Here is a 13,194-nt window from a genome sequence, read left to right as displayed (position 1 = left end):
CTGATTCCACATCTCATTCTCTTCCTATACATCACAACTGCACAGAAGGGGGTCCTTAACCATCGCTGACTTTCTCCTGTGTGCAACCTCCTGTACCAGTTAGCCCCCAGCTATGGCCAAGAACTTAGGAACCATATATTCCTTCCTTCTTTGCACCCCTGGTCTTCTTGGAATATACTCTGAATGGGAAAACAAACAAACAAACAAAACAAGGACTCAGCACAAATCTTTGCTGAGGTGTTGACTTCTCCCAGTCCTGAGGGAGATGGTTCCTCCTGGCACTGAATCCATTGTCAGGGCCACACTTGTGCCATGCTGAGGAGGGCTCAGAAGAATCCTAGTCTATCAACAACCGTCTTCCCCAACAGTGTCCTCTGCCACCGACTCACAGAAAAGCCTAATGGAACAGGTTACTGGGCTGAGACCTACAATGCCCCCAGCTGTGCCTTATCTGGGCCTGGGCTCAATGACTCTTTGTTTAGTGTTCAAACACCTTAGCCCTGGACTGTGGCCTTTCAGGGATGAAGGTCTGGCAGGGGAAGGGACTTGCCTGGAGGGATCTGATACTGTGAAAACAGCAGAGAAGAGGAAGAGGGAAGGGGAGGGATGATAAGAAGGAGGAACAGAGGAGAGGGAGAAGAGGAGTGAGAGAAGAAGGAACCGGGAGGAGGAAGAGAAAGAAAAGAAATCCTGCTTGTCATTCTGTTGGCACCTCTCTGAACACTGCCACTGATTCTAATGGGACTTGTGTCCCAGCCCATAATCCCTCAAGTGCTAAGAGAATAGGCCTCATAGTGGCTTCTCAGGCTCTTTTTTTTTTTCTTTTCAACTACAGCTTTCTGATTTCCCTGGAAAACTTCTTTCTATTCCAGAACTAAGGCACATTTTTCTCTTGCTCCTAGAGGCTGTGCAGAGGGACAGGGTCTTTTTGGTCCCCTCTGGCTGGAGTTTCCCAACAGTCTCAGAAATGACTCTGGGTGTGGCTGGAAGATATTTAAGGAAGGAGGTAGGAGGCACTAAGAACAGAGGGACTGGGGGTTGGCGAAAGAAGGAAGAAACAAGTGGCCCAGTTTATGTCTATTTAGATCCCAGGCATTATAGCCTTACATATGGCATCCCATCAATTGAAATAGATGGTGACTTTTATCTGCCCAAATCTACTCCTGCTCCCAAATCCTTATTTTTTGGTAACAACATTTACGAATACCCTGTCCTCTGGGAAATTTCCTCTCCCCATTCTCAATGATTCTGATGGGACTGCTAATCACAAAACCCTTCTTGCCTCAGCCCAGATCTGGCCAATCAGAGCCTTCCTTGGGCTTATATATATGGATATTGGGAAAGAGAAGCCCTCCTTCCCTTGCCTTCCTTGGGCTTATATATATGGATATTGGGAAAGAGAAGCCCTCCTTCCCTTTGGGGTTGCTAAGGAGAAATTAAATAAAACTAAAGTGGCATGCACCTGTAGTCCCAGCTACTCCAAAGGCTGAGGCAGGAGGACTGCTTGAGCTTAGGAGTTCGAGGCAGCAGTGAGCTGTGATTGCGCCACTGCACTCCAGTCTGGGCAACAGATTGAGACCTTATCTCTATTTTTCAAAACACTGAAATTAGGCTGTGTGCAGTGGCTCATTCCTATAACCCCAGCACTTCGGGAGGCCGAGATGGGAGTAATGCTTGAGGTCAGGAGTTTGAGATCAGCCTGGTCAACATAGCGAGACCCCATCTCAAAATTTAAAAAATAAAAACATAAACTGAAACTATTTGCAACCATTGCCACCCTTTGTATGGAGGAAGCTCATTTGTAGTAGGAGAAAATAAGGGCAACACACAGAAAGAAGTGTGTGTGTGTGAAGAGAGAAAGATAAATTGAGATACATGTTTCTATCTATTTATGTATCTATCTATCTAACCATCCATCCAACCCTGACAACTGTATTTTAGTCTCTAAATTATGTTGTAATGTAAACTAGCAATACCTCTGTGAATAAATCTGTGTGTGTGTGTGTGTGTGTGTGTAAGCTGGTTTGAGTTGGGTTTTTAATACTTAGAACACAGACAGTCCTAATAGATTCCTTCCATCCTCACAGCAATCCTATGAAGTAGTCAAAGCTCAGAGAAGTACATTGTCCAAAAGTCATGTGGACAGCACTGGAGAGTAGGGATTCATACCTGGTCTTTCCGATCCCCCAGCTCCAAAGCTGGTACTTCCCAGCTCCCAAAAATGGGTTAAACCTGGTCCTGCCCCAAAGTAACAATGCCCGCAAGGAGGGTTAGACCTTTATACAACTATAAAGCAAGACAGAACATAATGCTATAATATAATAAAGATACAAATATAATTCACTGGGATACACAGGGGAGAAAGTATTTGAGACCAAATTGTGGCTAAGGCATCCCAGGTCCAGTTTGGGGTAGGGGGAGATTACTGCATACTTGGATGCCCAAAGAAACCCCAAAATGACCAAAGTTGTTTCAGGCTTTTGTGGGCACTGACCATTTACGGATGTGTGACCAGCAACCTGTACAACCCTGAACAGAAACTTATTGCTGCGAGCTGTTGCCACTGTTTACAGAGCATGGTGTTGTTGGTGCAGTTGCCTTGAAACCTTTGTTCCGAGGAGTCCCACTTCCCTCCCTCATTCCCCATCTCAGCTCTGCTGCCTGACCAATTGGCTTCCATTACTTGTGCTGTAATCACCGTGAGCCTGTGGCTGGTAGGGGCTGGCAAAAGGTTCAGTATGGATATTTATTTCCCATGCATCTACCAAGGGAAATGAATTTGCACGTGCCATTTGCAAGCTATTTGCAAAGTGTGCAGTACATTCTGTTGTTTCCTAGAGTCTAAAAAAGTGGTTTTCAATCTCTTCTTTTTCCTATTCTAGGCTACTTTAAGCTGGGCAGAATAACCCACAGTCAATTTGCTCCACCCTTTCTCACATACAAGTGGAAAAATAATGCAAGCATACTATTGAGGCGTCAATGTAAAGTATCTTGGTGGGGGGGATTAGTTGTACATGTGCTTTCATGATCAAGGCATACATGATTCATATTCAAATTGCAATGCATAATTGTCTTTAGGTATAATTACCAGAAAATTAAAGGCCAAAAATACAATTAAAACAAAGATATATCACTGGTCACCTTAAGCTTCAAACAAATCCCAACTGACTTGATAATGATGAAGCTAAATTAACAGTAAATTACAATTAGAAGCAAGAATGGCAGCAGTTGGAGACCTTGACCCACACACGACAAACAACACTGATGGCAGACTGATGATAAAGCATCTGTCCACACAATGCCAGGGATGGGCAAGGCTCCAACAGTGTCGGGCCACGCTTTCTCCAGAGGCCAAACTTCTCAGGGGAATACAAAATCAGAAGCCTCAATAAAATTTGGTAGCACACTGACTTTTATTTATAAATTCCAAACTGGGTTAACCTGTAATCATTCACTTAGCAAGCTTTTAGTAAGTAGGTCTTAGATGTACATAAAAATGAGTGTGGATGAATTTGTAAATAGCTCTTCCTAAAGATAATTATTTACAGTAGTTCATCCTAAAGGGAAGACTTGCTTTCTTGGGTCAGTTTGCAGCCCGTCAGGTGGGTCTTGGGTAGCATTTAAGAATCACTGGTTGGGGCCAGGTGTGGTGGCTCATGCCTGTAATTCCAGCACTTTGGGAGGTAGAGGCGGGGGGATCACCTGAGCCCAGGAATTCAAGACCAGCCTGCGTAACATGGCAAAACCCTGTCTCTACAAAAAATATGAAAAAATTAGCTGGGTGTGGTGGTTTGCACACCAGCTACTTGGGATGCTAAGGCAGGAGGATCTCTTGAGCCTAGGAGGTCGAGGCTGCAGTAATCCATTATCGCACCATTGCACTCCAGCCTGGACAACACAGTAAGACCCTGTCCCCTCCACCCCCCACCAAAAAAAAAAAAAAAAAAAAAGACTGGTTAAAAGGCATTGGAATGCAACTGAATTGTTTGTTATATGCAGGGGTCTTAGACTAAGAGACATGAGAAGTGAGAACCAGAGACATTTGTTTCAACTCTCTTGCTTTCTACTATAAGAGTTATGTCAGGACCTCAGGCAAAAGCTAAACATTCCAACCTGACACCACCAGTTAGGTTAGTACACAGGCTACTGTGAGTTGGAAGATTTCACCCTTGCTAATTTAAAAGAAGCAACTTCCTCAAAGCAACAAAGGTGAATGTCAGCAATTCACAGAAGCGTTATATTTTACCTTTGGCTTAAAAATTAGACAAAAGACTAGGAAACAGTCTGCCAGAAAACCTAACAGCACCCATCTCCAAAGGGTGCAATACCCAGGTAACTCTACCTTAGAAAATAACACTTCACAATTGTGTAACACTTTAACCTCTCCAAACACATTTGCATGTGTTACTGCAATCTCCAGAAAAAAGAGTGAGTTTCTGAGGTGTCCTGACTCCCTGACCTCTTTTTTCTTACCTCAACTCTCTCCTTTGGTCCACATGCCTCTGGATTTGTTCCTTTCTCTCTTGTTCTTTCCGTTCAGTTTCTCAGTTCCTGCTTCAGTAGCTTGCTCAGGCCTTGCTTATCCTTAAAATGCTACAGGACTTTTCAGGGTTACTCTGAGTTCAAAAGGAGTCAACATATAACTCAACCTAGATTTGTTGAGTCCTTTTTCAAGAATAAAACTATTTGGCTTTTGGTTGGGCATGGTAGTTCACACCTGTAATCCTAGCACTTTGGGAGGCCAAGGTAGGAGGATGGTTTGAGGCCAGGAATTAGAGACTGATTTGAGAAACACGGCAAAATCCCATCTCTACAAAAAAATACAAAAATTAGCCAGGCAGGGTGGCTCATGCCTATAGTCCTAGCTACTCTGGAGGCGAACATGGGAGGATCACTTGAGTCCAGGAGTTCCAGAGTAAGCTATGATTGTGCCATTGCACTCCAGCCTGGGTGACTGAATGTGGCCCTATCTCTAAAAGTTAAAATTTTAAAAAAAGATATGGCATTCTGAATGAGTATGGTAGGGCCCTTTATGTGAAGCCCCTTCATTCCTGGATAAATAATTGAAGGTAAGAAGGTTTGGGAATCATCAGCCCCCTTATGTGTAGCATAGGCTATCGCAGGCCTCTAGCCTCACTGAGTCAGCCAGCACGAGCTGTGAAACCTAAGTTCAAAGTCACTGGAGTAGTATTATGGGTTGAATGTTTCCCCCTCCCCTTAAGTTCATATGGTGAAGTCCTCCTAACTTCCTGTACCTCAGACTGTGACCTTATTTGACTAGACTCTTCATAGAGGTAACCAAGTTAAAATGAGGTCATTGGGGTGGGCCCTAATTCAGTTGTGTCCGGAATTGGTGGCTTCTTGGTCTCACTGAATTCAAGAACGAAGCCGCGGACCCTCGCAGTGCGTATTACAGTTCTTAAAGGCCGCGTGTCCGGAGTTTGTTCCTTCTGATGTTCGGATGTGTTCGGAGTTTCCTCCTTCTGGTGGGTTCGTGGTCTTGCTAGCTCAGGAGTGAAGCTGCAGACTTTCAGTGAGTGTTACAGCTCTTAAGGTGGCGCGTCTGGAGTTGTTCGTTCCTCCCAGTAGGTTCGTGGTCTCACTGGCTTCAGAAGTGAAGCAGCAGACCTTCATGGTGAGTGTTGCAGCTCACAAAGACTGAGTGGACCCAAACAGTGAACAGCAGCAAGATTTACCGCAAAGAGTGAAAGAAGGAACCTTCCACACTTTGGAAGCACACCCTACCAGGTTGCCACTGCTACCTCAGGAAGCCTGCTTTTATTCTCTTATCTGGCCCCACCCGCATCCTGCTGATTGGTCCATTTTACAGAGAGCCGATTGGTCTGTTTTACAGAGAGCTGATTGGTCCATTTTCACAGGGTGCTGATTGGTGCATTTACGATCCCTGAGCTAGACACAAAAGTTCTCCACGTCCCCACTAGATTAGCTAGATACAGAGTGTAGACTGGTGTATGTACAAACCCTGAGCTAGACACAGAGTGCTGATTGGTGCATTTATAAACCTTGAGCTAGATACAGAGTGCCAATTGGTGCATTCACAATCCCTTATTTAGACATAAAGAGTCTCCAAGGCCCCGCCAGATTAACTAGATACAGAATGCCGATTGGTGCATTTACAATCCCTTAGCTAGACATAAAGATTCTCCAAGTCCCCACCAGACTCAGGAGCCCAGCTGGCTTCACCCAGTGGATCTTGCACCAGAGCCGCAGGTGGAGCTGCCTGCCAGTCCCCCGCCGTGCGCCCGCACTCCTCAGCCCTTGGGCGGTCATGGGACTGGGCGCCCTGGAGCAGGGGGCGGTGCTCGTCGGGGAGGCTCCGGCCGCGCAGCAGCCCACGGCGGGGGGCGTGGGGGAAGGCTCAGGCATGGCGGGCTGCAGGTCCCGAGCCCTGCCGCTCCCAGTGCGGGGCCCGCCGAGCCCACGCCCACCTGGAACTCGCGCTCGCCCGCAAGCGCCGCGCGCAGCCCCGGTTCCCGCCCGCGCCTCTCCCTCCGCCCCTCCCGGCAAACTGAGGGAGCCGGCTCCGGCCTTGGCCAGCTGAGAAAGGGGCTCCCACAGTGCAGCGGCGGGCTGAAGGGCTCCTCAAGCGCGGCCAGAGTGGGCGCCAAAGCCAAGGAGGCGCCGAGAGCGAGCAAGAGCTGCAGAGGGCTGCCAGCACGCTGTCACCTCTCAGAGTGAGATACTGGTATGGCTTGTATCTTATGAGAAGGGAAAATGTGGACACAGAAAGATAGTGGAAGATAATGTAAAGACACAGGAGAAGACAGCCAGCTACAAGCCAAGGTGAGAGGCCTGGAACAGATCTTTCCTTGACGGCCCTCAGAAGGAACCCCATCCATTTTTTTTTTTCGGAGATGGAGTTTCGCTCATTGCCCAGGCTGGAGTGCAGTGGCTGATCTTGGCTCACTGCAACCTCCTCCTCCGGGGTTCGAGTGATTGTCCTGCCTCAGCCTGCCAAGTAGCTGGGATTACAGGCGCCTGCCATCATGCCCAGCTAATTTTTATATTTTTAGTAAAGAGAGGGTTTCACCATGTTGGCCAGGCTGGTCTCGAACTCCTGACCTCATGGGATCCACCTGCCTCGGCCTCCCAAAGTGCTGGGATTACAAGCGTGAGCCACCATGCCTGGCCCCTGGGGCCCACATTTTGATCTTGGACTTCTGGCCTCTATAACTGTGAGAAAACAGAATTCTGCTGATTAAGCCATCCAGTTTGTGGTACTTTGCTATAGCAGCCCTAGCAGGCTCATTTAGACAGCAGCTAGCCCAGAAGACTAATTTTTCTCACCTCCTCATAAGATGGTTTTAATAATAAAATGAGCTAATAGAACTAAAGCCCTTTGCAAATAGTTAAAGCTACAATTAAGATGAAAGGGTTTCATATCACTATGATAACAGTCCCTGGCTGCCATATTTAAAACTACTGGATTTTTAAAATTACCCGTCTTCTATGCATACAACTGAATCCTTTTCCTGGATATATTTTTCTCTGTAGAACACATATCACCTTCTAACATACTATGTTTTACTTATTTATTTTGCTTATTCTCTGTCTCTTCCCACGAGTAGCAAAGCTCCATGAAGGCAGGGACTTTCTGTTTTGTTCACTGCTAGTCTCCAGCCTGGCGCATGGCAGGTCCTCAGCATGCACTTATCATTCATGCATGTTGGATGAATGATAAATACACATTTACTCCTTATCTTCATCAGGCTATTGTCTACTGATCCTTTAAGGCCTAACTCAGGCCTACTCTTTCTTAGGAAGCCTCCCCACGCCACTTTCCTCTTTCCTAGTTTGGAGCTTCCCCTCCATTCTCTTACATGGATCTTTCCAACAATGCAGGGACCACATTGTGTTTGTTTCCATGACTCCCTCGCTGTGGGCTTTGGAGGTGAGGAACACCCAGGTCTATATACCCTGTAGTCAAAGGAGGCGGCTCTGTGCCTGGCCCTTGGTAGGCACTCTGTGCTTCTCTGTTGAGTGAGGCAGTAGCTAGGGAACAAGGGAAGGGCATGGGCAGAGGGTGGATCAGAGGTGGCCCACAAGGGGGTACTGACCTCGTAGCCTAGGCTGTGCCCTTGAGCTACAATAGTCAACAACACTAAACACTGAAAAGGAAGCCCACCACCACAGGTTGCTGGAACCACAGAGGAAACCAAAGTGGAGAAGAGTGAGGCCAGCTGGGAGGATGACCTCACGGTTTGGAATAGAGGAAGTAAAATAAAAATTGATAAATCAGAGCAGAGATATGGAAAGCCACTTTAAAGAGAAAACAAATGAAAGTTTCCTGGAAATGCAAAACAGGAGTTTCACCTGATTAATATGTTCACATAACTGAATATAGAATGAGTCATCTGGGGCTGAGATGGGGCATGGGGTTTGTCAATTAAGAAATTTTGGTTAGAGGTCAGGCGCGGTTGCTCACACTTGTAATCCGCACTGTGGGAGGCTGAGATTGGCAGGTCACTTGAGGCCGGGAATTCAAGACCAGCCTGGCCAACATGTCGAAACCCCGTCTCTACTAAAAATACAAAAATTAGCTGGGCATGGTGGTGGGCCCCTGTAATTCATTACTCAGGTGGCTGAGGTACAAGAATCACTTGAATCCGGGAGGTGGAGGTTGCAGTGAGCTGAGATTGCACCACTGCACTCCAGCCTGGGTGACAGAGCAAGACTCTGTCTTAAAAAAAAAAATTTTTTTTTTGTTAGAAAAGGGAGAACTGGCCAGGTGTCATGCTCATGTTGTAATCACAGCAATTTGGGAAGCCAAAGTGAGAGGATTGCTTGAGCCCAGGAGTTCGAGATCAACCTGGGCAAGATGGTGAGACCCCCCACCTCGATTAAAAAAGAGAGAGAGAGAAAAGGGAGAACTAAGAGGTCTTTGTCAGCTGAGCTGTTGGCTAGAGAGTGCCCGGACTGGGGATGAAGATAGCAGATCTTCCTGGGAAGTCTTTGATGGGAATTAAATCTCAGAGGTGGGGGCAGGGCCGGTCTAGTAAAGGGAGGCCAGAATGATTAGCAAGTAGTTGGAGGTGGGGCTCAAATATAATAGTATAATTAATGGTAAGAATTCTCTGCCCCATGTGGAACATGGTGGTGGTGTTTGCATTTACAAAGGTAAAAAGTATGGGCCAGGGCAATGGCTCATGCCTGTAACCCCAGCACTTTGGGAGACCGAGGCAGGAGGATCTCTTGAACCCAGGAGTTCAAGACTAGCCTGGACAATGTAGCAAGACACTATCTCTACAAAAAACCGCACACCTGTAGTCCCAGCGACTTAGGAAGACAGAGGCAGGAGGGTCACTTGAACATAGGAGTTTGGGGATCCAGTGAACTAGGATCACACCACTGCACTCCAGCCTGGGCAACAGAGTGAGACCCTATCTCTGAAACAAAAATAAAAAAGAAATAAAAAGTACAGGTAAGACCATCTGTAAAGGTCATTGTGCTCTGAGGGAAGATTTGAGAAGCTCAGCTCATGCTTCTTGTCCACAAAGAATGAGGAAAATTATCACTGGCTTGCCAGGCTGAACTGCCTTTGGTATTTCACAGTCTTGAGGGGGAAACTGTCATCCTTTGACTGTTCATTCATTCATTCATCAAACATTTTTGAGCCAGATACTGTGCTACATCCTGGGGATACAAAAATAAATGTTAACAACCAGTTCAACTAAGAACCTTGACCTCCTGGATTTGTGTAATCTATAATCCAGTTCAAACAAGCATCCTCTGACATCCCCCTGTGCTGTGGGGAGGAAGGTGGTTAGGAAGGGCAGCTCAAGCACCAGGGGCAGCAAGGCTAATCAAGCAGAACAGAAGGTCAAAGTCCCGGAAGAGGAGTAAAATGCCAATCCACCAGGGGAGTCTGGAACCAAGGCTTTGCAACCTCTCCCTGGGAATGTTGAATGGTACCCACGAGAGCAGAAATACAGCACCAATTAGGTTACAGGCACTGCCACTAAAATTCAGTGAGGCAAAATTATCATTGAACTGAAAAAGGAAAGAATTTAGTTAAACAGATCTTTTGAGAATGCCTGCAGAGTCACTGGAATGAGTTGTTGACATTCTTCATCAACACAGAAAATGTTGCCAGGGTGCCTGCAACAAAACAGATTTATGTGATGCCACTCCTGACTCCCCAGAGACCTGCCGACCTGAAGCAGACAGATTAAAGTCAGCCTGGGACACACTTCCTGATTTTAAAAACAAACATTCTTCAGGTTTTGAAAAGTGAATTTCTCCAGGAAACACTTTACACAAGTAATACCCTAGAGTGTACATATTTTGTATTCTCTATACTCTGTGAATATTTCTCATATTACGGACAGTAAGATATTCAGTGTTGACTTCGGATATAAAGGGAGTACATCCTTGAGAAGGAGAGTAGAAAGTCCTTGCCCAGTCTTTGTCCAAGTCATCATCTGTTTTCTGTTCATTAGACATTAGTAGAGGGTCTACTCTGTTCAGCACTGTGCTGGGTACCAGGGTGATGCAGCAGGAGGGAAGGAGGAGGTAGATAACAAAGGACTTGACAGGTGGCCCTTTATACGCTTCCAGCCTAATGGGAGTGGTATAGGTTGAGTTCCCTGGGTTTGAGATAGAGAACTGGGGGCAAGAGGTTTATTGGGGAGTATACCCCAAAACAACATCTGTGTGTGACTGAAGGAAGCGGGCAGAGGTGGGTAAGTTGAGCTGTAATGCAACATAAGCCTGAGCGGGCTCCATGGGACACACTGAAGCTGAGATGCCCTTCAGAGATGTCTCAAGTTGAGACCAGGGAGAGGTGTCTGTGCCCTTTATTGAATGTCATAGAGTGTAGGCTTTCCCCAGGGAAGGGGAGTAGCCTTACACAAGACAGCTCCATTCTGTGGAGGGACATTTCTGAGAAGGAGCTGAGTCTGGAGCTTTCAGCAAGCAACACTCCTAGAAGTTGGGAAAATGCGAGCCTTGGGCCTGAACGTGGGGATTTGGGCAGCACACCACAGCATCCACTATAAGGGAGCATAATACAATAGCATGAAGGGCAGTGTGACATTTTGGTGTTGTAATGAAGGTACAGATACAGTAGAATGAGCATTCAGAAGGTGGAGGGACTGCATCTGATAGGGAGCAAAGAAAGCCTCTTGTGGAGGTTGAGGCCCCTGAATATGCACAAGGCTTCCACCCCTACCCCACCCCGGGAGAAGAGCTAAGGTAATTAAATCACACATTCCCAGCTGATGGGGAAGGAGGATGGAGCAGATGGGAGGAAATAAGATTTCTGCAATTATCTCCTTCCCCAGCACTTCCAGAGTCACAGCCCCAACTGGCAATCACTTCTGACTGCCACAGTTAAAGAGCTCCTCAGGTCAGCAACCCCTTATAATATGGGTAGAGTGATGGCCACAGTGGGCCTTCAGATGTGTCCACTGACTGCCCAGCTAACTGACTTACCTGATGGAGCAAGCTGTGTTTGGTCCAGAAACAAACTGACCCAATTTCATCCCAGAATCTACAATGCCTCCCATTTTCAAAATTATTTCTTCCTATCAAGCAAGGTTATTCATTCCTTTTTCAAGAATGGCTGTCAAGACTTGTGAAACTAGAGTCATCCTTCTGCGATCAGGGTGAATGGAAGCTCAGGATGTGAGGAAGTGCATGAGGCTCCACTCTCTGGCAAAGCAAAAATAATTTTTAGAATCAGTTTTAAGATTTGTCCTTCTGTTTGGGATGCCTCCAGGCTAAAGGAAACAAATATTCCATGGATTTACCCCCAGAGAGCAACATGTCCCCTGTCCTATTTGATATTTCTGCTCAAAAAGCTGCTGTTTAACAGCTGAATAATGGTTTCCCTTCTCAGCGTTCTGTATACACTTGCACACTGCAACATACAGCTTTCTGTGCCCAGATTCAAAAGCATTTCTTCAGGTAAACAAAATTAAACAAAGAAAAGCACTTTGGCCCTATTCAGATAAAGCCTCATTTTTCTACATGTGAAATAGAGACTGGTCCTACTCAACAATCTTTGATTGCCAGGCTCTTCTATGCTAAGAGTCACTGAATTACATTGACCTGAAACAGCTAAATTGAGACCCGCTGGACGGTATAATAGTTATATATTGCTGCGTAACAAATTACCCCTACATGTAGTAGCTTAAAACAACCAACATGTGGCTGGGCGTGGTGGCATGCCTGCAATCCCAGCACTTTGGGAGGCCGAGGTGGATGCATCACTTGAGGCCAGGAGTTCAAGACCAGCCTGGTCAATATGGGAAATGCTGTCTCTACTAAAAATGGAAAAATTAGCGGGGTGTGTTGTTGCACACCTGTAATCCCAGGTGCTGAGGTGGCTGAGGCATGAGAATCACTTGAATCCGGGAGGCGGAGATTGTAGTGAGCCGAGATGCCACCACTGCACTCCAGCCTGGTGAGACTCAAAAACAAACAAACAAACACAACCAACATATATATGTCACAGTTTCTTTAGGTCAGAAGTGAGAGCAGCTCCACTGGGTGGCTCTGCTTGAAGTGTCTCATGAAGTTGCAGTTAGGATGTTGACAGGGGCTGCAAACATTTAAGGCTTGGCTGGGGTTTGCGGATCCACTTCTCAGATGCTTCAACTTACACAGCTGTTGGAAGGATGCCTCAGTTTTATGCCACATGGACCTTTTTTTGTGATATGGTAGCTGGCTACCAATGGAGCAAGTGACTCAAGAAAGAGTGGCTACAATGGAAGCCACAACGCCTTTTATGGCTTAGTCTCAGAAGTAACATAGAATAAGTCTCTGTCATATTCTATTAGAAGCGAATCACTAAGTCCAGCCCATAATAAAGGGGACGCAGATCACTATATTAGACACATTTCAAAACCACCGCAGAAGGGAAGGTGAGGGAGTGTTACATGAGCTACAGAGTGATCCCTAAGCAAAGCTGTGCTTTGCAGTCTTATCTTGGTGCCAGTGCCACCCCAGTACCCTCCCATACTTCCACCCCACTTCATTGGCTCAGCTTCTTAGGTGCATTCTCACCTCTCATCAATCCATCCAAGTCCTTTATTTTATCCCTCCCAAAGCTCTCTGTGCTCCAAGATGATCAAAACAACTGATGCACTAATCTCCTTCCAGGAAACCAGCATTTCATTAGAGAAACCTGCCTCTGCTGGTGAAAGTGAAAGTTCTCCTGGAGAAAGAATG

The 13,194-nt window shown here is 46.4% G+C and overlaps 2 annotated features.

Annotated features, from left to right (window-relative positions):
• Positions 377 to 671: a silencer, noted in NCBI's record as "tiled region #10612; K562 Repressive DNase unmatched - State 4:PromP". NCBI's record gives its function as "represses a minimal TATA promoter and a strong SV40 promoter by Sharpr-MPRA in K562 cells {active_cell/tissue: K562}" and the evidence as "EXISTENCE:reporter gene assay evidence [ECO:0000049][PMID:27701403]".
• Positions 8,529 to 8,578: an enhancer, noted in NCBI's record as "active region_2490". NCBI's record gives its function as "activates an Ori minimal core promoter by ATAC-STARR-seq in GM12878 lymphoblastoid cells {active_cell/tissue: GM12878}" and the evidence as "EXISTENCE:reporter gene assay evidence [ECO:0000049][PMID:35858748]".

This window comes from Homo sapiens, chromosome 1, assembly GCF_000001405.40.
Source record: "Homo sapiens chromosome 1, GRCh38.p14 Primary Assembly".
Lineage (NCBI taxonomy): Eukaryota > Metazoa > Chordata > Mammalia > Primates > Hominidae > Homo > Homo sapiens.
The sequence above is the reverse complement of the archived record's forward strand: the minus strand, read 5'-3'. Positions and strand labels throughout refer to the sequence as shown.